We start from the raw sequence: 25,004 nt of genomic DNA, 5'->3' as shown, positions 1-25,004 counted from the left end.
AATGTTCTCCTTGCCAACAAAGCTGAATAAAATGTGAAAATAAAAAACAATCAAGAATTCTGCTCAAGTACAAAATATAGGGATAGCTTGGAGATATTGGGGGTTTGGTTCCAGAGCACCTCAATAAAGCGAATGTCACAATAAAGTGAGTCACACACATTTTTTGGTTTCCCAGTGCATACAGAAGTTGTGCCTACACTATACTGTAGTATATTAAGTGTGAAGTGGCATTCAGTTTTGTAAAATTTACATACCCTAGTTAAAAAATCCTTTATTGCCAAAAAATGCTAATGATCATCTGAGCCTTTAGTGAGTCCCAATCTCTTTGCAGGTGGAGGGTCTTACCTCAGTGTTAATGGCTGCTGACTGATCAGGGTGGTGGTTGCTACAAGTTGGGGTGGCTGTGGGAATTTCTGAAAATAAGACAACAATGAAGTTTACTGCATTGACTGACTCTTCCTTTCGGGAAATATTTTTATGTGGCATGTGATATTGTTTGATAGCATTTTACCGATAGAACTTCTTTAAAAATTGGAATCAGTCTTCTCAAATCCTACTGCTACTTTATCAAGTAAGTTTATGTAATATTCTTAATTTTTGTTGTTATTTCAACAATGTTCACAGAATCTTCAACAGGAATAAATTTCATCTCATGAAACCACTTCATTTGCTCATCCATAAGAAGCATCTCCTCATTTGTTCAAGTTTTATCACGAGACTGCAACAATTCAGTCACATCTTCAGGCTCCACTTCTAATTCTAGTTCTCTTGCTGTTTCCACCATATCTGCTCCTCTGCTAAAGTCTTGAACTTCTCAAAGTCATCCATAAGGGTTGGAATCAATTTCTTCCAAATTCCTGTTAGTGTTGATATTTTTACCTTCTCTCATGAATCACGAATATTCCTAACAGCATCTAGAATGGCAAATCCTTTCCAGAAGGCTTTCAACTTACTTTGCCCAGCTTCATCAGAGGAATTACAATCTATGGCAACTAGCCCTACAAAATGTATTTCTTAAGTGTTAAAACTTGAAAGTCAAAATTACTCATTGATCCATGGACTACAGAATGAATGTTGTTTGCAGTCATGAAAACATTATTAATCTCTTTGTATATCTCCATCAGTACTCTTGAGTGACCAGGTGCCATCTTCAATGTACAATAATATTTTGAAAGGAATCTTTTTTTCTGAGTAGTAGGTCTGATATGGTTTGGATTTGTGTCCTTACCTAATGTCATGTCGAATTGTAATCCCCAGTGTTAGAAGAGGGGCCTGGTGGGAGGTGATTGGATCATGGGGGCAGATTTCCCTCTTGCTCTCCTTGTAATAGGAGTGAGTTCTCATGAGATCTAATTGTTTAAAAGTGTGTAGCATCTCCCCCTTCTCTCTCTTCTTCCTGCTCCTGCCACGTAAGACATGCCTGCTTCCCCTTCTACCAGGATTGAAAGTTTCCTGAGGCCTCCCCTGCCATGTTTCGTGTATAGCCTGTGGAACTGTGAACCCATTAAACCTCTTTTCTTTATAAATTACCCAGTTTCAGGCATTTCTTTATATCAGTATGAGAAGGGACTAGTCCAAGGTCTCAACTGTGGGCTTAAAATATTCAGTAAACCATACTAGAGACAGATGTGCTGTCATGCAGGCTTTATTGTTCCATTTATACAGCACAGGCAGAGTAGATTCTGCATAATTCTTAAGGGCCCTGGGATTAGTAAATGAGCATTGGCTTCAACTTTAAGTCATCAGCTGCATTAGCCTCTAACAAGAGAGACTGCCTATCCCTTGAAACTTTGAAGCCACGCACCAACTTCTCTTCTCTAGCTAGGAAAGTCATAGATGGCATATACTTCCAATAGAAGACTGTTTTATCTACATTGAAAATCTCTTTAGTATAGTCACATTCACCAATGATTTTAGCTGGATCTTCTGGATCACTGGCTGCAGCTTCTACATCAGCACTTGCTGTTTCATCTTGCATTTTTATGTTACAGAGACAGCTTCTTTCCTTAAACCTCATCAACCAACCTCTGCTAGCTTCAAACTTTCTTCTGCAGCTTCCTCACCTCTCCCAGCCTTTAAAGATTTGAAGAGAGTTAGGGCCTTAACTCTGTATTAGGCTTTGGGTTAAGAGAATGTTGTGGCTGGTGTGGTCTTATATCCAGACCACTGATACTTTCTCCCTATCAGCAATTAGGCTATCTTGCTTCCTTATCATTTGTACTTTCACTAGAGTAGCACTTTTAATTTCCTTCAAGAACGTTTTCTTTGCATTCACAACTTGGCTAACTGTTTGGTGTAGGAGGCCTCGCTTTAGGCCTATCCTAGCTGTTGACACGAAATAGCTAAGCTTAGCTATTTCTAGCTTTTGATTTAAAGTGAGAGACATACGACTATTCCTTCAACTTGAACATTTAGAGGCCATTGAGGGGTTACTAATTAGCCTAATTTCAATATTGTTGTATTGCAGGGAACAGGGACACCCAAGGAGAGGGAGAGAAAAGGAACAATCAGTAAGCAGAGCAGTGAAAACACACACACAACATTCACTGATTAAGCTCTCTGTCTTATATGGCTGCAGTTTGTGGTGCTCCATAACAATCACGATAGTCACATCAAACATTACTGATCACAGATCATCACAACAGATGTAACAATAATGAAATATTATGAGATTTCCCAAAACGTGACACAGAGACAAGAAGTGAGCACATGCTGGGGGAAAAATGGTGCCGATAGACTAGCTCAGCACAGGGTTGCCACAAATCTTCAATTTTTAAAAAATGTGTTATCTTTGATGTGCAAAAAATAAAGAACAATAAAACAAAGTATGCCTGTAACCAATAGAATTTTTATCTTATTTTTTCTTTTCTCTTATTTTTTCAAAACCATATTATTTTTTTCAGGGTTTTAATATCATTATTTTGACAGTCTTTAAAAGGAGAGGCACTTCAAGAAAGGAATCAAATAACAGAAGCAGAAAAAGAGAAATAGGCCTCGTTGTATGGTGCCTGTTCACATTTTGCAGCCATTTACTATCATCTTACTGCTGGTTCTAAATATGTCCAGTGGAATGCAGAGTTAGAGTAAGTGTTCAAATTATTAAATCAAATAATGTGACCTTTTCCCAATTGCTTTAGAAATATTGGATTTACATATTAAGTCCTTCAATTTTAAGTTATTTTTCAAAAAGATTTTTAAAATAACTTTGGAAATAACTTCTCTTTGTCTATGACAAATCACCTGAATTTACTTATTAAGTATAGATCAGTGGATAATTCAGTTACCATTTGGAAAGGAATCTTTTATTTTGAGCAGCAGATCTCAACAGTGAGCTTAAAACCACGCTGTAAACGAATGTGCTGTTGTCCAGGCTTTGATGTTCCATTTACATAGCATATCATAAACTTATGCTTACTTAGACAACTTGTCTTTTTCATAGGCTTCTTTGCTTGTGGTTTTGAATAACTTATAACCAGAGAAACAAAAATGTCCAGGTCTCTCTTAGCATCCTGTGAGTACAAAATGGGAATTGCATTTATATCCAAGCAGACTAGTGCTGGATTAAGCTCTTGACTCTCAGCTACAAGCCACCCTTTTATATACTGGGACTATGATACTGGGACTGGGGCTTTGCAAATGCCATTTCTCTTTTGTGAGAGCAGCTTCTGTTAGGTTCTATAAATTGATTCAATAGAGAGAGACAGGAAGATTAGAGGAGGAAGAAGGGACTTGCTCTTTTCCTTGTGCTTCCCATTCTTGTCATTGCTGCCCAGCAATGTCCTTTCAACCCAGTGACAAAGTCTACTTCTGGTTTCCCACTTATTCCATCACTGCCAGAACCAGCCTCATCACATGCCCTCAGAAGATGGTACCACCACCGCTGGGAGGTTTTATTCCCAGCTTCACAGGACCCCCCCAAGCTTGCAGGTTTTAATAATCTACCTCTTTCCTTTGTTCCCCCAATCATGGGTGGCATAATTGCTCTCTGAATGTATCTATATGTATTACCATAATGTTCCCTTTTTGTCATACTGTTTGATCAATTTCATTTATTAAATTCTTTCTTTTAAAAATAACTAGTGTGGTTTTTGTTCTCATAACTGGACCCTGGTGCCTTGTTTGATTTGTCAATGTATAAATCATACATAGGGATAGAAGAATGCTGGTCCAGCTTTAGCAAACTATAATAGCAAATGGGGACCATATTTATAGTTGGGAGAATTGAGGGGTTTTATCTGTAAAAAAAAAAATACTGTGTGTGTGTGTGATAACATGAGATCTACCACCTTAACAAAATTTCTCGTGACAATACAGTATTGTCATTGATGGGTACAAAGTTGTACAGCAGATCTCTAGAACTTATTCATCTTGACTTAACTGAAACCTGATGCCCATTGATTAGTAACTTCCCATTTCCCCCTCCTGCCAGCCCCTGGCAACCACCATCCCACTCTGATTCTACAAATTTGACTATTTTATGTACCTCACATAAGTAGAAACATGCAGTAATTATATTTCTGTGACTTATTCTGTGACTTATTCTGTGACTTAGCTTAATGTCCCCTGGGTTCATCCACGTAGTCATATATTGTAGAATTTCCTTTATTACTTTGTCTGAATCATACTTTATTCTATCTATATACCATATTTTCTTTAAACATTTATCTGACAATGAATATTTAGGTTGCTTCCACATCTATTATAAATAGTCCTGAAATCAACATGGGAGTGCTAATATCTCTTCAAGATCCCAATTTTAATTATTTTGGATGACTATTCAGAAGTGGGATTGCTGGATCATATGCTAGCTCCATTTTTACTTTTTTGAAGAATTTCCACACTGTTTTCCATAGCAACTGTACCATTTGCATACCCACAAACAGCATACAAGGGTTTTAATTTCTCCACATCCTCACAAACATTAGTTGTCTTTTTTATATATGTAATAGCCATCCTGACTGGTGTAAAGCGATATCTCATTCTGGTTTTGATGTGAATTCCTCTAATGATTAGTGACAGTGAGCATTTTTCCATATAACTGTTAGCTATTTGCATGTCTTCTTTGGAGAAATGTCTATTCAAGTCCTTAGTCTATTTTTTAATCGGGTAATTAGATTTTTTTGCTATTAACTTATAGGAGTTCCTTATTTTTTTTAGAGTAACCCCTTATCAGATATTTGTTATGTAAATATTTTCTCCCATTCTATAGTTTGTCTTTTCACTGTATTGATTGTTCCCTTTACTGTCCAGAAGCATTTTAGTTTGATGTAGTACCACTGTTTATTTTTGCTTTTGTTGCCTGTCCTGTGCTTTTGGGTATTTTGTCCTACCCAAAAAATAATTGCCAAGGCCAATGCCATGAGGCTTTCCTCATGTGCTAGGAATCTTACAGCTTCAAGTCTAATATTTAAGTCTTTAGGTATATTAAATTTATTTTCGAGTATGATATAATAGAGTATAATTTTCTTCTTTTCTTTTGCATGTGGATATTCTGTTTCCCCAACATTGAATAAATTATCTTTTCCCCATTATGTACTCTTGGCACCCTTACTGAAGATTAGGTGATCATATATGCATAGATTTATTTCTGGGCTCTCTCTTCCATTCCATTGGTCTATATATCTGTCTTTATGCTAGTACCATAGCGTTTTCATTACCGTAGCTTTGTAATGTACTTTGAAATCAGGAAGGGCAACATGTTCAGCTTTGTTTTTCTTTCTGAAAATTGAATTGGCTATAAGATTATCAGTGATTTTTTAGCACAGAACTTGCCAGCCAGAAGGCAATGAGATATTAATATTCAAAATAATGAGAGAAAAAACTGCCAAGAGTGCTATGCTTGGCAAACCAGACCTTCAAAAAGGAAGGAAAAATAAAGACTTTCCCAGAAAAACAAGAACTGAGGGAGTTAATTACCACTAGAGCTGCTTTATGAGAAACGCTAAAAGTTCTTCAAGTTGAAATGAAAAAATGCTGAACAGCAACACAATAGTAAGAAAATATGAAATTCTTTGATAAAGATAAATACATAAATACGGAATATTATAATACTATAATGGTGGTAGGTAAGTGACTTTTAATTTTAGTATAAAAGTTAAAAGACAAAAGTATTAAAAATGACAATAAAAATGCATTAAAAGGTACATAATATGAATAAATAAAACCTGTAACAACAATAATGTTATGTTGTAAAATGTGTAGGGGGCAGAGAAGTTAGTTTTTGTTTATAATTGAATTTAAGTTGTTATCAGTTTAACATAGACTGTTGTGACTGTATTTTATATAGACTCCAAGATAACCACATACAAAGAATACCTATAGAAATCGCACAAAAGGAAGCAAATCTAGAAAACTCAAAGAAAGACACAAAGAGAGGAAAAGACTAACAGAAGAACTACAAGACTAACAGAAAACAACAAAATGGCAATAGTAAATTTTTCCCTATTCATAATTACTTTAAAGGTAAATGAATTAATCTCTCCAATCAAGAGACGTACAGTGGCTGAATGAATTTAAAAAATAAGACCCAAACTACATACTATCTACAGGAAATTCACATTTATATTTAACCGAACACATCCTCACCTGCTAAAGCAAGAATTTAGTACCATCTCAAAAGGTCCTTTGAAAGACAAAATTATATCTTCTCATACATTAGTCTATAAGAACAATTCATTATTAGTCTATAAGCACAATGTACTATTCCAGCTCCCATTTATCCATATCCACTTCTTACAAAACTGCTTTGAAAACATCTCAATTCTAATGTCTACGTCAGGAGTACAATAATTGGATGCCTCCAAAGCTGCCAATTTTCTGTGACTCACTGGGTCCTACCATAAAAGGAAATGGCAAAGCTTCCATAAAGTGATGTGGGAAAATATCCATACCATATACTGGTAGGTTGGAGAAGCAGCTATCAGAAATATATTTATGTTATTATGTCATAAATACATGCCGTTTTTAAAAATCTTGATTGCAAAAATGTGAGGAAGCAAGAGGTTGGATGTATATGTATTAAAATTAACAGTGATTATCTCTGAGTGGATTAGATTATAAATTTAAAACAATTTTGGCTTCTCTGTATTTTCTATTTTATCTTTTAAGAAAATGTAAATTATCTTAAATTTAAAATTTTAAGCACACACACACACACACATATATATAATCCCAAATGATCAGACAGACATTTTTAAAAATTATAACTATTATGCATCTTCCTACCAAAGAAAATTACATTTTTCTCCTTCCTGAGAAGTTAAAAAAAGAAAACTAAAGATATCAATTACATAATTCATGACGAGTCATCCAACCAGCCCCTAACACCTATTTACAAAAAGTATGAAGGTTAGCTTTAAGTTGCTTGGTAAAGTCCTGAAAGTAGTATCCCAAAGTACGTCTATTTATTCCGTCAAGCATGCAACTACATTATTTCATGGAATTAAATATGTAATATTGAACCATGTACTTCAATTAAAAATATATGTATATAGAGTTCAGATCTATCCATAAAGATCATAAAACTGAAAATTTAAAACAAAACAAAACGCTTTTTTAAAAATCAGCTAAATTCATTTGTCTGGGAAGCTGTTTACCCAATACATGATTTCTGGTCGGGTTCACTCATTTTTCTGTTTTTGGCATCAATGGAACCCTTTATTGTATACCACATAATTACATCCCTTCTTAGCTAGCCAACACATTATTTGTGCTAAGGGAAAATGGATACCTTGGTTTTTGTGTCATAAATATAACAAGGTTTCTTGTTACGTTTAAGAGATTTAACCCAAATTTTTCTCTTAGGATTGATATTGTTGCAAATCACTAAGTCTGGGGTTATAACATTTGGGATATTACTTATCTTTAAAATTTATTTTCTATTTTTCTATTTATATTTTGGTGTTGAAATAAATGTATTTATAAGTACATTCCTACTTAAAGACAATCTGTCACATGGAAATTAAAATGTGCAAGAGGCCCCTGTAATTCTAGGACTTTGGGAGGCCAAAGCAAGCAGATAAAGACCAGCCTGGGTAACACGGTGAAATTCCGTCTCTACAAAAAAAATAAAAAATTATCTGGGTGTGGTGGTGCACATCTGTGGTCCCAGTTTCATGGGAGACTGAAGTGGGAGGATCACTTGAGCGTGGGAGGTGGGAGGTTGCAGTGAGCTAAGATGGCACCACTGCACTCCAGCCTGCGTGACACAGTGAGACTCTGTCTCAAAAAAATTTTTTTCTCAATTAAAAAAATTGCAAAGGGTAAATTGTGAGTAAGGGCTGATTATTGTAATTCAAAAGGGATGTCTCCATATCATAAACTACTTGACAGAGACTTGGAGGAGGAAGTAGGTATTGGCAGGTGGTGAAATAGGAAGATGGAAGAAACACCTAAACCTTAAGTGTTAAATGTCTGTAGACAAGTAGAAGAGTATCAGAAATACTAATGTAAGTATATGAAAAGCCAATATAACACATATTTTATTTATAAAAAATTAGTCTACAGTATGATTTTTAGGAACACATATAATATGGAAATCAATATTTGTTCATAGTATAAATTTGCCCTTCATTTTTATTAAGACACTGAACAAATTGAATGTTTACCATGTTTCAAGGCACTTTGCAAAATTGTCACTTATGATAAGCATGGAGCTATGGCCTAGTCAGTCTTAAAATGAAAACCCCAGAATGTATTATTAGCATCATACAAAATAAATGTATAAAGCTATTTAAAATTGCTTGTAGCATCAAGGATACCCATGTTTTATGGTTCTTAGGCAAGGCTAACAGTGGGGGTGGTGGGGTATGGATGGGCCCAGTTGGGGCTGCTTGGAGCCAACAGAGTCTACAGTTTTTACATGAGTCATCTTTTATTTAGTCATTGCAAGTGTCAGGAGAATATCTCCAAATGTGTGATCTAATAAGTAGCATGGAATTTTTACTACGCATTTTGAATAGCTCATACTCAGAAACTATCCCATTTCCAAATGGTCCAGTCTGTCCAATTTGACAGGGAGAATGTGCAACAGCTGCAAAGAAAGACTTGATGTATTACTTGAAATCACTAAAATAAGAAAACCAGTTCCACTGTGTTTGAAAATAATGAGTTTAAAAATGGAGTGATCATTAAAATGGCAATGTTTATTTCTAAATTAAATGATATTTGTCTTTATTGAAAGGTGGTTTTCAATGTAATTAGTGGAAAACATTCATTGATAGCTTACAGTGTGCCATTCATGGTTCTAAGTGTCTTATTTGTATTCCTGAGTTGATGCTCACCCCGACTTTGGAAGCAGGTTCTTCTATCATGACCACCTTATAAATAAAATCTGAGACACAGAAAGGGGAAGCAACATAACCAAGGACATACTGGTCCTTGATACAAGTGTCAAAGCTCAACCAATACATTATGCAGCCTCAATTACTAGTTTAAATGTTCTATTTTTCCAATCCACTGATACTTTAAAGGTTAACTATTTCCTTAAACTTGATTCAAGTTTTCTCTGGAACTTTAACAGACTCTATCTGCCAGTTTTCCAACTGATGGGTTTCTATATATAGGCCTTATCTTAAGTGTACCTCTCACATAGTTTGAAAAGTTTACTCTTCTAAGCAAGTATAAAAGTAGCTATTTTCAGAACTAATTTGACATGAATTTTTTTCCATCAGCTAGTTTTCTGCGCAGATCATTGGACTCTCAAAATTGAATAAAAATAGTAAAGCTCAAATCCATTTGGGTAATGTGAAGCTAGAAGTATGCATAATAGAGAATGGTTTAGTTTTTCCTCTTTGTGCACCTCAAAAACATCTGAAAAGATTTAACCTTCTCAAAAAAATGCTCACCTTTGGGCTGAAACCAAGTAGAAAGAACTTCAGTTTCAAAGGAAGCATTCTTTTTAAAAAATTCTGAGTGAATTAGACGAGGCAATTGCCTGGAATTTGGTTGCATATGAAGCTACATTTTGTGCCCACACATGCTCTGGTGTTGACTTCCTGCTCAGTCAGTACTGATAGTTATTATTCTATAAAATAAATATTTGCTTCTCAGGGCTATAAATCCTGAGACCACCTTACAATCTTTAATGGACTTCATCTTTTAAAGCGAAGAGGAATGTAGCCTCCTTTTTCTTTTGGTTCACGATTTAAGGGGTGGTAGGAAAAAGATGTTGGAACATTTCCCTGTCTTTCAACCAACCCCCATATCTAGTGGCTCCTTAATTATATCCTCCATGGAAAGCAATTGATGCCTGTTGATAATACATACCATATTTCCTCTGTCTTAAAACCTCACCAGTTTAATAATAGTTTTTGGCTGTAGGGGAAGGAGGGAAGAAGAAATACTACCACATTAAATCATTAAATGAACACATTGATTATGAGGCAGAACTAGATATCAGACACATTAAATTATGAAAAAGTATGTCTTAGAATTGAAGAGATTTGAGTTTTGTTGAATTGAATTAAACTGAAAATAAGGGCCTCCAAAGAAGGATTAGAACTGAGAGATATGAAGTTTCTTTTTTTCTCTTAAATTGTATTAATTTTAAATATCATCGTCATTACTGCCTCTGCTTTTTCTTTTTCTTTTTCTTTTTTTTTTTTTTTTTTTTTTTTTGAGACAGAGTCTCACTCTGTCGCCCAGGCTGGAGTGCAGTGGTGCGATCTTGGCTCACTGCAACCTCCACCTCCTGGGTTCACGCCATTCTCCTGCCTCAGTCTCCCGAGTAACTGGGACCACAGGCACCCGTCACCACGCCTGGCTAATTTTGTATATTTTTAGTAGAGATGGGGTTTCACCGTGTTAGCCAGGATGGTCTCAGTCTCCTGACCTTGTGATTCACCTGCCTCAACCTCCCAGAGTGCTGTGATTACAGATGTAAGCCACCGCGTCCTGCCCATTACTGCCACTGCTTTTTCTAGGAGAATCTACTCCCACCTACAGTCTCTTCTGCATCCCTAATCACAGTTGATTAGACAACAGGTAGATATTTGACACCATCTGGGCCAATCAGATTTTTTTCATCCTGAGAATTTGAAATTCTGGCTCAATTTGCTGGGGAAGCTGAATATCAGAGACATTAAAGTCAGGATCAGTGTAAAGCTCCTGGCCAAAATCATCATGTGTCAGTCAAAGTTATGAACCCCAGGGATAGCCAACATGCAGAGAATGCAGATGCAGGCTGTGTGGTTCTTTGAAAGAACCACAAGGTGGAACAGTCTCAGGTCCCAGTTTTTCAGTTTCACTGCCTTTTCAACTCAGCTATACTTAATGTGCCTCCTTTTGCCAGTTTTAGCCCTAAAATCAACTTTTTGTTTTAATAACTTGAGTGGATTTTTAAAAACAATAGACCCATTTTCCATTCTCAAGTCATTATTTTTTGTGTTCATTTTTAGCTACAATGTAATGTTCATGCATAGAGATGATATCTGCTATAATATTACATAGGAAGCTCCAGGCAACCAAATGAAGTTCAATGATTTACTGAAAGTTTTAACCAACTGAGGTAGCGCTGGGTCCTCAACTAGGTTTTCTTTACCGCCTAAGAAAGTGAAATCTGCTCTAAATCTACATGAAAGCTGCATTCACTTGAAAGTAAGTATTGGCTGTTTCCAAGTTCCGTTGCTGGACTTTGTCAGTATGTATTTCCTTACAGAAATAATGTTTTTAATGGTAGTTGAATTTCAAGATTAGGCCACAAATACCTGCTTGACTTATCAAGAATCTGAAGCCCACATTATTTATTAAGAAAATAGTGTGATACAATACTGTAGCAATGGTAGCTATTAAACAAAACAGTGCATTGAATTAAGAACTCGTTTCATGTATTGTGAATGTTTGGCTTGAGGAAGAACACATTTTATTGGAAGTATTATGCTGATTCCTAGAAGCAGATCTGGTTATTTTCAAAGACTTTTTAAGAGTTTCGGGAAACCAACTCTTCTCCGTTATGCCTAATTATACCTCAACATTTAACACCATTAGGAAATAAAAGTTTGGGCCAATGTGTCCCAAACTATTATTAGTGGTTGCCTCTTGCAAGTGAGATTGCATGAGACTGACTCTCTTTCTCATTTGTATATTTTTATACTGTTCAAACTTTTTAAGATAGTATGTATTACTTTTATAATCAGAATAAAAGCAATAAAAATACAAAAAACTCTACGGCTTCCTTCTCCTGGATACTGTTGTCTTGCCACAGTCTCCTGTATGATGAAAGTCATTTTTGAATTCACAAGTAGAAGGAAGAGTGTACTTTCATGTGCAGAGTTGAATGGATGGAGAACTAAAGAGGATTTGAGGCATGTGAGAGAGTTGTCTGCTGTGGAAATAGCTGAGTGGCAGCTTGGCTAGGGTGTTATCACCAGGGAAAGGAAGAAGGTGATAATAGAAAAAGGCCAAGAATGGAACAGAGAAGTTAAATGGGAGCAGACTTTGGAAAAACAAGGGGTAGAATCAGTGTGTACAAGACTGGGATTATCACAAGAGTAGCACTTAGAACCAGGAAAAATCCCTGTGTAGCCAATAGGATTAACCTTAAATAAAGATGGAAGTAGGAAAGAAAGTGGATAAAAAGACCCTCCTTCCTACCCCCCACCAATTTGCCCAAAAAAATGACTTCATTAAACTTCCTTCAATATGAGAAGTGGCTTTACACTTTGCAAAAATAAATGGAGGAATGCAAACAATATTGAGAGAATATCAGTTAACATAAATTCACACAAATACCAGTAATTAACTAATATTAAAGTATTTCTAAGAATAAATTTTGTTATCAAGGTGAAAGAATTGTAATTCAATGCTTGCTAAAGGGGAAGAGGTGCTACTCCAAGAAAATAATAAAAATAGCTGACATTTTTTATATCTGTTTTTTGTCTGACAGTAAGAAATGGAAAGACTTTGCATGAATTACCACATTTAATCTTCTCAATGTGCCTATGTGTGATGAGCAAACTGTATTTTGAGATTCCCAAGGTCACACAGCTAAAATGGCCCCTCTAACATTCAAAAAAGAGAGTCACTGGAGAAGAGATTGCGAGGACATTTTTATCTGCATTTCAGTCTGACCTTAGGATCAATCATCAGGCTATCATTTAATAGAAGAAAACTGTAGAGAAGGGAGGTTAGAAGGGAGCAAAAAAAATGAGGCAGGACAATTTCTGGACTTTCAGGAGGGAAAAGTGTAACCACTGTGCCTCATCCAGGCCCTCTAGAACCCAATTCTACACTTAAATACTGTCTTAGTCTGTTTAATGCTGCTATAACACAATACCACAGACTATGTAATTTATGAAGAAAAGAAAATTATTTCTCATAGTTCTGGAGGCTGAGAAGTCCAATACCAACATGCCAGCATCTGGCGAGGGCCTTCTTGCTATACCATCCCACGGCAGAAGGCAAGAGGAAGAGAGAAGGCAGAATTCACTTTTATAACAAACCCACCCTCCAAATAACTAAGCCACTCCTGTGATAACGACATTAATCCATTCATGAAGGCAGAACCCTTATGTCTTAATCACTTCTTATTAGGCCCTGCCTCCCAAAACTATTGCCTTGGGGATTAAGTTTTCAACACATAAACTTTGGAGGAGGAGTTCAAACCGTAGCAAATAATAATGCAGCTCTGACTCATTTCCATATGTGTAGGGGGAGAACAGAGGGCAACAGGTGTCTTTTTTGTTGCCAAGAAGGCCAGGGCACCCTCCTCACTCAATAGGATAATTAAATTCACTCTCTTATCATGCCTCACAAACATTTAAAGTTGAAAGGTGGAAAGAAGGAGGGAGGAAGGGAAGGAAGGAAGAAAGTGTGGAAGGAAGGAAAGGAAAGAGAAGAAGAAGGCAGAGGAGGGAAGGAGAGGGGAGAGGTAGGGAGGGACGGTGAGGGAAGGGAAAGGGAGGGGAGGGGAGGGGAGGAGAGGAGAGAATAGTAGAGGGTAGAGAAGGGGAGGGAGGAGAGGGAAAGGAAGGCAAGGGGAGGAGGAAGGGAGGGGATGAGGAGGGGAGGAAGAAAGGGAGGGAAAGGAAGGTGAGAGAGGGAAGGGAAGTGAAGGTGAGGAAGGGGAGGGAAAGGAAGAGAAGAAAAGGGAAGGGGAGGGAAGGGAAGAGAAGGAAAGGGAAGGGGAGGGGAGGGAAAGAGAGGGAAGGAGGACGTCTAGTCAGGAAAACTAAACCACACTAATACTGACTGGCTGTCCCAGGCCAGGATCAGTTCCCTCATCCTCCCTTTCTGGGGTTGGTGTTATCAAGGAGCACATTTCAAAGGGCAGTACTCTGTCCTCATCACTCTTGGTCCTTCTAGTTCCAAACAGATCCTGTCACTTGGGGCTCCCAACCCTCTGTAATTTGTAAATCATTTCTGGGAAAGAATGAACATATAGATATGCTCTGAATATACTCACAGGCCCACCACACCCCAAACACCTGTGATGGGGACCAGTCACCTACCACCTCAGGCCCATCTTCTCCTTAGTAGAATGAAGACTTTGAGTTCAGTCATCTCTAAGGTCCTTTTTCAAATTAAGAAAAAGAATAAATGAGAAGACAATAGAAACTAGGAAGGTAAATAGTATAAGTAATCAAAATTTACTTCCAGACATTTCCTATGACAAGACAGTATTTCCCCCTTCTCTCTCATACACACTTCAAATTGAAGACACCATAGATTTTAATATGCACCATTTCTTTATGTATCACTAGTAAAGAAAAAAAAATGCTGCCAACTAACCATGACACACCATTGATTATCAAACGCATTCCAGTTTCAGAGATGTTAAACTGCAAAACATGGGTCCTAGAATCAATGAAATACAATGTGTGTGTGTGTGTGTGTGTGTGTGTGTGCGCATGAGGGTTTGATTGGTGGGGAACTCTCGCTTCTTACTTTAAACACTATTACTGGCTTTGTTATAACATATCTTTAGTACTTATCATTTAGTGCAAAGTTCATTTTCATTTCTTGCTATTACATATCTCACTTTCAATAGCTCTTTATAAGCTCACTCCAGGCCATCTGAAGCCTCAAGCTCTCATTTGGTGCTCAAAAGTCTCCTAAACTTCCTAGAAGCATCCCTTACCCCATTCACAATCATTGTGACTTTTCTAGTTCACTTTTCCCTTTGAAAATAGTCCAGTCCTGTATTTCCTCCTCTTAGGTTTTGTTAAATGATTGGAATAAAATTTACGAACCAATTTCAGTTAGAGTTTTTATGGTGGGAAATAGCTTATTGTATAACTTTTTCAGATGTCAAATTGCATCTTAATGTAGCCTTCTTACAAAGGAAACCAATGTGCATTTATTGAGAAATAAAGAGGGAGGTATATGGAGTGGAAGAGTTTTGTTCCCCTGAAATCATACTGCTTTGATCACTGTTTATTGCCTCAAATATGTAAGTCTGGGTGGCCCAGCTGCCTTCTTACCACAAGGCTACCGAAAGTCTGAGGAGAAACTTCCCTTTCTTTTGTCTCCTGCAGGAATGCCAAAACAAAGTCTCAAAAAAATAGTAAATCTAACTGGCTAACACGACCACCACAGATGCCCTACGGGATTCTCCTCCTTCTCTTCCCCCTCTGTCTCCTCTCCATCATCATTATCATCTTCATCATCATCATCATCATCACTACCACCACCACCACTATCATCATCTCTAGCTTCCCTCTTTGACTTGGCTGCTAAAAAAACCCTTGGAATCAAAGTAATTCCCTTTTTTTTTTAGACAGAGCTTCACTCTTGTTACCCAGGATGCAGTGCAATGGCGCGATCTCGGCTCACTGCAACCTCCGCCTCCTGGGTTGAAGTGATTCTCCTGCCTCAGCCTCCTGAGTAGCTGGGATTACAGGCATGCACCACCACGCCCAGCTAATTTTGCACTTTTAGTAGAAATGGGGTTTCCGCCATATTGGCCAGGCTGGTCTCAAACTCCCAACCTCAGGTGATCCACCCGTCTCGGCCTCCCAAAGTTCTGGGATTACAGGCATGAGCCACTGCACCTGGCCCAAAGTAATTCCCTTTCTTTAGGAAGTGTATAGGAACCCAATACCTATACATTTGAATACTAATCTTACTGCAAATTGTATCTTAATTTTGAATATTTTTATTGATACATAATATTTGTATCTATTGATGGGATACATGTGATATTTTATTACATGCATAGAATGTGTGATGATAAAGTCAGGGTATTTGGGGTATCCATCACCTTGAGTATTTATCATTTCTATGTATTCGGAACATTTCAATTCCTCTCTTCTAGCTATTTTGAAATGTACAGTACATTGTTGTTAACTATAGTCACCCTACTCTGCTAATGAACATTAGAACTCGTTCCTTCTATCTAACTGTATGTCTGCAACCATTATCCAAACTCTGTTCATCACCCCTCCTCCCTCACACCTTTTTCAGCCTCTAATATCTATCATTCAATTATACTCTCTACCTCCATGAGATCAACTTTTTTAGCTTGCATATATGAGGGAGAGTAGGTGATATTTGTCTTTCTGTGCCTGGCATAGTTCACTTAACATAATGACCTCCAGTTCCATCCATGTTGCTGCAAATTACATGATTTATTTTCTCTTTTGTTTCTTTGTTTGTTTTTCTGTTTTGTTTTGTTTTGAGGCACGGTCTTGTTCTGTTGCCTAGGCTGGAGTGCACTGGTGCAATCATGATTCACTAACTTCAACCTCCTATGCTCCAGCTGTCCTCCGCCTCAGCTTCCCAAGTTGCTGGAACACAGGTGCATGCCATTGTGACTGCCTATTTTTTTTTTTTTTTTTTTTTTTTAGAGATAGGATCTTGCTATGTTGCTCAGACTGGTCTTGAACTCCTGCTCTCTAAAGATCCTCTTGGCTTGGCTTCCCAAATTGCAGTGACTACATGTGTGAGCCCCCATGCCTGGCCAATTTCATTCCTTTTTATGGCCAAATATATTATTTTATTGTAATAGATGTAATTTGGAAAGACATTTTGCCTTTTCTATAAATAAGAATGTCTTCAATTAATTAGCCCTTTACAGGTTTTTAGCATTTTTCTTCATTTAGAAAGTGCTTACATTGGTATCCACACTATTAATGGGAACAAAATTGGTAAGATTTATCTGGCAGGCAATTTGTCAATTACATTAAAAACCTTAACATTATGCATGAGCTTTAAACCTAGAAATTTCACTTCCAGTAACTTATTTTCAGAAGAAAGTTTGAGATAGGTACAAAATGTAATGTTCAAGGGTATTCATTACAGTGCATTTCATAATGCCTATCAATATGAATTTGATTAGGTAAATGGTAGCGAATCCAAACAATGGACTATTAGACTGCCATTATATATCATGTTGTTCAAGAATATTATTGACATGAGGATGTTCATAATAAATTCCTAATCCCAAAACACAGGCTGCAAAATAAAATGCCCACTATTATATCATTTTAGCATGGCATAAATATTAAAATGTTTGGAATCAAAGACATCTTGGTTCAAACCTTGGTTCCAACACTCAGTTCTATCATTTGCTCCTCATACAAATGTGGGAAAGTTATTGAGCCTCACAGAGCCCCAGTTTCCTCATTTGTAATTTAGAAATAATTACAGCCACCTCTTAGGGTTTTTGTAAAGATTAATTTAAATAATGTATGCAAAGTATCTGCTTCTCCACACACAAAATAAGTGCTCTATAAATGGTTCTCTACATCAGGCTTGTGTGTCAGTTGGGGTTTTTTGATTACAAGCAACAAAAAAATTTGGCCAACTTAAACAAAGGGGAATTTATTAAAAACATTGCACAAAAGTTGGAGAACTAGGCTTGGAAATAGGCAGACACCAATTCAGCTTCAGGGGCGGGAAAGCAGGAATGATAGGACTAGTCTTGCAGTGGAACAGTCTGGCAGGGATATTCCTGCCAAGATAAAAGAATGCCAACCTCTTCACTCACCCAATTTCATATGCTCAAAAGTCAAAATCTCAGCAGCGAGCTTTCATGGGTTGAGCTGAAGAGACTGCCCACCTTTGGCCACAGGAGGCACAGGCAGCTGGATTTTCCATCTCAGTAAAATATAGGCAGTGGTGTGGTAAGTTAACTCCCCAAAGGAAATTGGGGTTCTGTTGTGAAGGATGGTAGATGCTACTGACAAAAGTTCCTCTGTCACATAAGCACGAGGTAATTTTGAAATGGGAAAAATATAAATCAAATATTTATTTAAAAAATAAATCACATACATGATCACAAATGTATGATCATCACGAAAGCCCTACAGGAAAATCAGGACAGAAATTATTTTCTTGATTTTACAAAGAGAAACTGAGGCTCAGGGATGATGAATGACTAGCCCAAGGACTCTGCACTTAATCTGGGGCAGAGCTGGAAAAGACAGTCCTGACCCCCAGTCTCAGGCTCTTTCCCAGGTACCCCCTGGGAAATTGTCAAACATCTCTCAGTTTCCCTGCTTCCCAACCCTCAACTTCAAAGGATGCAGATTACTGTTGGTATTTCCCTTTCTTATAACTCGTTAGTCCCTCCTGCTGCTTGGAGTTCAGGCCCTGCCAGAGGGCCCTGAGCTGGAGGTTCTGCTGGAAGCATTACAGTCAGCTAGGCTGACAGTGGCTGGGAGACTTGGCAGACTTTCTCCTTCACATTTGGCTGGGGGGAGGACGGAGAGCTAAGAAACCACTGGAGAAAGGAGGGAGGCTGGAGGAAGGCAAGAAGGCAGGGGCCAACCTGGAGAGGAAGTGGTATGAAGAGGAGGTAGTGGGGAGACAAAGAGAATGATTTTTTTTGAAAGACAAAAAAAAAAAAAAAAAAAGAATTAGAAATATGGTTAAATCAGCCAGGAAGTGGCCCAGTGACCAAGATCTCCTGAACCTGGCTTCAGAGAAAAACATTAAAGCTTCACATATTTGGCATTCAAGTCACTAAAGGTTGCTTTCTGCTTTTTCTTTCTCATTAAAGCATTTGGAAGAACCCACCAGAAAGCCCAAATGTATTAAAAATTCCTGGGCTCCATGCGTAAAAATGATAGACGAACAATTCTAGATGGATCCTATTTAGGAGCCATCTAATATATGCATAATATATGCCTTTTTCAGTTAGAGAAACTGAGGCACAGAATTACAATATGTCCATGACTTCTTTTTTAATTGAAAAATTTAAAAGTATGATTTTCCAAACAAGGAGTTGGTAAACTTTTCTATAAAGAGCCATCTAGTCCATATTTTTGGCCTTCAGGGCCATATGGTCTATTACAACTACTCAACACTGACGTTGTAGAGCAAAAGCAGCCATAGATAATATATAGACAAATGGGTGTGGCTGTGTGCCCATAAAACTTTATTTACAAAAACGGGGCATGGGCCAGATTTGTAGTTTGTCAAGACCTGATCTAGACTTAGTCATTTATTACCACATGAACATCCCAGAAGAACATAAAAGCAAATGGTAGGCATCAATTTAAATTCCCATAGGAATGATAATAGTAATAACTACAATCTATTAAGCACTTCCTATGTGGATTTCCTCATATAATTGTTCTACTGTCCTATGAGGAGGATGCTATTGTGCTTGCCCATATTGTTAGATAAGAAGACAAAAATACCTGCCCGTCAAACAACTGCCAGGGGGTGGTCACATAGCTAGAAGGTGGTAGTGGCAGGATTTTGACCCTTGATCCATCTGACATCAGGAGTCAAGTGCTTAACAACTATACCAGCTAAAAAAATGCAACTAGTAAGGAAGAAAAATAAAGTTACATGAAGTTTATCACAAAGCATTGACTTTTTCATGTTATTACAAAGGAAGCTCTTGGTAGTGTAATACTTTGGTAATGCATTCATTATCAGCAACTTGAATGAAGCATGAATCTGCACCTTCCCCCACATCCTCCCAGTTTCCTTGGAACGTTCATTTTGTTACCTCTTTCTCGTGATCTGTTAGGCTTTCTCCAGCATACACGCTAAGATTTAAGAAAGGATCTTAACTCACGCCCACCCACCTCAGACGCTGAAATGTGAAAGGCCTTTAACACTAAGAGGAATTCAAGCCTGAAGGGGAGAAGAGGACAGCTCTTGATGATTATCCTAAATTTTTGAAGCCAAACCAGGGAGGACTTGAGGAAATGACTCACTGAACCCAGGAGAAAGAAAAACAGCCGAGAGATGGCAGGAGAAAATGAGGATAATATAGCCTTACTGTTAAAGTGAGGGTTAGAAATCCACAGGGACCCGGAAAGGAAACACTGAAATGGCTGAGTTACATTCCTGAAACTAGCATGCAATATTGTTTTATCAGGCTTACGGCTGTTTTGACCAAGAATGAAGCAGGAACAGATTTCTTCTTAACAGAAACATCATCTCATGTTCTTTACTGTCCCCAAAGTGTCTCCTCTGCTAGAGCCCTAAGGGGAAACCACAGCCATCTCTGTCTCTTCTATTCTTGAATCACAAAACTGGCTGTTCCTGACACAGATGCTGAGCTTGGTGTGACAAACAGATGTACTACACTGCAGCCACTAAAATCTGCTAACATCTGTACTGAACCTGTGGAAGAACTTTGAGCCATCAACTTTCCGGCTAAAAAGAGACCTGATTAGAAAATTCGGGAAATGTTTTCAAGCACGAATACAGTTGCTTTCACTTTTTAGGTCACTAGAAACAGAGACAAAACTATGAGGTAAGTGACTTTTGTCCTTGGTCTTTTCTAATCCACCTAACATATTATGACTACATTAACCTTCTTAATGCAAAGTTCTGATAATGTTACTCCTGAACTCACAAACATTCAAAAGTTAACACACAGTATTTGTAAAGCTGCTGTTAAAATAGGCATTGTTATATATTCCTGGTGGAAATATACATTGCTATAATCTCTAAGGAGAGAGTTTTGGTGACACCTACTGTATTAGTCACGGTCTCCAGAGGGACAGAACTAATAGGATGTATATATAAGAGCAAACGGTAGGCATATATATATATATATATATATATATATATACACACACACATATAGGAGTTTAAGTATTAACTTACACAATCACAAGGTCCCACTATATATATATATAAAGCAAATGGTAGGCATATATAAATATGGGAGTTTATTAAGTATTAACTTATACAATCATGTCACACAATAGGCTGTTGGCAAGTTTACAGAGCAAGGAGAGCCAGTCCTAGTCTCAAACTAAAGAACTTGGAGTCCAGTGTTCCAGGGAAGGAAGCATCCATCACGGGAGAAAGATGTAGGCTGGGAGGCTAGACCAGTCTCACCTCTTCACGTTTTTCTTCCTGCTTTATATTCGCTGGCAGCTGATTAGATGGTGCCCACCAGATTAAGGGTGGGTCTCCCTTTCCCAGCCCAGTGACTCAAATATTAAATCTCCTTTGGCAACACCCTCACAGACACACCCAGGATCAATACTTTGTATCCTTCAATCCAATCAAGTTGACCCTCAGTATTAACTATCATACCTGCCAAAATTACAAATGCATATACTTTTTGATCTAGGAATTTCTTCTACAGCCTTACTTGCATTTGTATGAAATAAAGCATATTTAAGACTATTTGTTGCCATATTATTAGTAAGAATAACAGATTATATATACTTCTGCTCCTAGGTAGAATGTAGTAGGTCAAAGCAGGTCAAAGGTCTTGCTGCAGCAACTAGTAACAAATTAATACATTGAAAGAAACATGTTAAAGTTATAAAAGAGCTATAGAGGACCACATGATGTCTAGGTACAGAAGGACGCTGGGCACAGTGACTCATGCCTGTAATCCCAGCACTTGCAGAGGCCAAAGTGGGTGTATCACTAGAGCCCAGGAGTTAAAGACCAGTCATGGCAAAACCCCATCTCTACTAAAAATACAAAGATTAGCCACCTGTAATCCCAGTCACTCAGGTGGCTGAGGAATGAGAATCACTTGAACTCAGGAGGCGGAGGTTACAGTGAGCCAAGATCGCACCTCTGCACTCCAGCCTGGGCGACAGAGCAAGGCTCTGTCTCAAAAAGACTAAAAAAGGAAAAAATTTTCTTAAAGCTGAGAAGAAATAGACACTCCAGGCTCTCAATCAAAAGCTTGGAAAGACTATATCTAAAAAGCAGGGATAAACCAGGGGTGGACAGAATCTTGCTAAAATTGTAAATGCAGCCCTACTTCAACTCAGTTCCCATTGAAATGAGGTAATTAGCTCCTGGTCCTAACAAAAAAGAAAAAAAAAAGATACCTCTCTGGTGGAAGATACCATCAGAAGTCTACAGTTATTTTATACCAATGCCCAGCATGCAATCAAAATTTACTGCACATTAAAACAATCAGGATAGGTAATAATAATCAAAAAATAAAATAAATACAAGCCCAAAGAGAATTGAGATGAGAAAAAGCACAATAAAATAACCATGGCATGTTAAAAAAAAGTTTCAAAAAGCATGTTAAAAAAAAGTGAAAATTATATTTTAACAGATAATTGGGCTCTATCAAATTTTTAAATGGGTATTTTAGAACTGAAAAGTATAATGTTTGGATTTGAGAACTAATTAGGTAGGTTTAAAAGCAAACTGGATATAGATGATAGGATTAGTTAATTTAAAGACGGATCAATAGAAACTATTCAAATTGGATCACAGAGAAAAACCAAACTGGAAAGAAAGAGTATGTCCAAATGTGGAACATACTCCAACAGTTTAATAAAGTGTAATAGAGTCTCAAAGGAGAGAAAGGAGAGAGAATGGAGCAGAAGCAATATTTGAAAACACACAACTGAGAAATTTCTAATAGTAATGGAAGATATAAACCCACCAATTCCAGAAGTTCAAGAGTCCCTAAGCAGAATAAGTACAATGCCAACAGTAACACCAACAAACCCACCATACCTGGACACATTGTAGAAATTGTTGAAAAAGAATGACAAGTTCTAAAGCAACCAGAGCTGGGGAAAGCCCAAGTCTTCAGGGGAACTACAATAAGACTGACAGCTAACTTCAAACAAAACAAAACAAAACAAAAAACAAAAAAAAACACTGTGTGGCAGCCACGGAATTGCACCCCTCAGATCTCCCTTCAAGAGATCATGCTGTGGGGCGCTCATCTTATTGACAGCTGCTGCACTGTTAGATCCACTAAAACTTTCATATCAAATCATACTTCCCCTGGGCTGCTTCCAGTCAATGAATTAGCTCAATGGGGGTATGAAAATCAGGCTATATTGGTAGATGCAGAATTTCTTTAACAGGCAATTTGGCTCAGGAGATCTCTACTGACCTGGCCATGAATTTAACAGACCCGTCGATAGTCTGAGGCTCTTCTGGCCTAATCCTTCCTCACCTGTCTTCTTTCACAGGTGCTGGACCTGTCTTGGTGTCTGAAGGTTCTCCCTGCCTACTCCTCTCCTTCTTTTTTTATCCTTTACAGGCATTTCCCCCGAACAAATTTCTTATATTTTTAATCCTATCTTGGTGTCTGCTTCTCATGGAACCCAAAATGACACACTGTGGAAATCAGGAGACGATGTCATGATATTTTTAAAATGAAAAAACAAAAAGGCAAACAAGACCTCTCAACCTAGAATTATACACCAGTAAGAATATTTCCTTCAAATTAAAATAGAATTTGTTGCTAGCTGCACAGCATTGAAGTAAGTACTAAAGGGAGTTCTACCAGCAGAAGGGAAATTTTCTGAGCTAGAAACACAGAAAATTAGAAGGAAATGAAAAACACCGAAAAGACTATAAATCAGTGAATAAATATAAAAGAATACTAACTATTTAAAGCAACAAGGCACAGTGGCTCATGACTGTAATCCCAGAACTTTGGGAGGCTGAGAAGGTAGGTTCGTTTGAGCCCAGAGTTTGATTGCAGCCTAAGCAACATGATGAATCCCTGTCTCTAGGAAAGATACTAAAAAATTAGCCAGGCATGGTGGAGTGTACCTGTAGTCCCAGGTACTTGAGAGGCTGAGGAGGCTGAGGAGGCAGGAGGTCAAGGCTGCAATGAGCTGTGATTGAGCCACTGTACTCCAGCCTGGGCAACACAGCAAGACTCTGTCTCGAAACTACAAATAAACAAATAAAGCAACAACAATAGCATCTTTTGGAGCTTAGAACATGTAACATAGTGTAAAATATGTGACAATAGCAAAAAAGGTAAGAGAAAGGGGCAAATGGAGTCAAGTTATAAGATTCTTACATTCTATGTAGAATTAGATTACTAGTTAAGGTAGACTGTAACTAGTTAAGGATGCATGTTGAAATCGCTAGGGCAATGGTTCTCAACCTGGAGCAATTTCACTCAAGAGGCATTTGACAAAAGAAATTTCACTAAAGAGGCATTTGATAAAAGAGAGAAGGAAAGGAAAGGAAAGGAAGAAAAGAGAAAGAAAGATGAAGGGAGGTAAGAAGGAAGGAAAGAGGGACATATATTTGGCAATATCTGAAGACATTTTTGGTTGTCACAATTATGGGTTGGAGGAGATGTCAAAATTATTCTGCATTGAAACACTAACTAAAAGATGGATATTCTCAGAGTGGATTGAAAAACATGACCCAACTATATGCTGTCTCTAAGAAACTTACTTCAAGCATAATGATATAGGTAGGTTAAAAATAAAGGATACGAAAACATATTCAATGTAAATCTTTAACAAAAGAAAGCTAGAGCGGCTGTATTAATATCAGAGAAAGAAGAATGAAGAGCAAAATAATTTACCAAGGATAAAGAGGGACACTATATAATGATAAAAGGGTTATTTCACCAAGAAGATACAATAAATCCGAAGTATGTTTGCTCCTTACAATAGAACTTCAAGTTGCATGAAACTAAAAGTAGAAGCAGACAAATCCCTCATTATAATAAAAGGCTTCAACTCTCCCTTCTCAGTAATTGATAGAACTAATAAAAAATCAGCAAGGATATTAATAAACTGTAAAACACTATCAACTGACTGGATCTAATTGAAATTTTTAGAACATTCCAGGACCAATAGCAGAATATATATTTTTTTCAAGTGCACATGGAACATTCACCA

The 25,004-nt window shown here is 37.5% G+C and overlaps 1 long non-coding RNA gene across 6 annotated transcripts in view; it reads right to left on the bottom strand.

Annotated features, from left to right (window-relative positions):
- LOC105378316 (uncharacterized) overlaps positions 1-25,004 on the bottom strand; it is a 69,554-nt gene that overhangs the window by 7,548 nt on the left and 37,002 nt on the right. For 4 of the 6 annotated variants that reach the window (XR_945981.3, XR_945982.3, XR_945984.3 and 1 more), the window contains one exon: positions 14,448-14,509. The exons of the other annotated variants lie outside the window; for them this stretch is intronic. This is a non-coding gene — a long non-coding RNA (uncharacterized LOC105378316). The remainder of the gene's footprint in view (positions 1-14,447; positions 14,510-25,004) is intronic. 6 annotated transcript variants of the gene reach the window in all.

This window comes from Homo sapiens, chromosome 10, assembly GCF_000001405.40.
Source record: "Homo sapiens chromosome 10, GRCh38.p14 Primary Assembly".
Taxonomy (NCBI): domain Eukaryota; kingdom Metazoa; phylum Chordata; class Mammalia; order Primates; family Hominidae; genus Homo; species Homo sapiens.
This window is presented reverse-complemented; position numbering and strand designations above follow the sequence as displayed.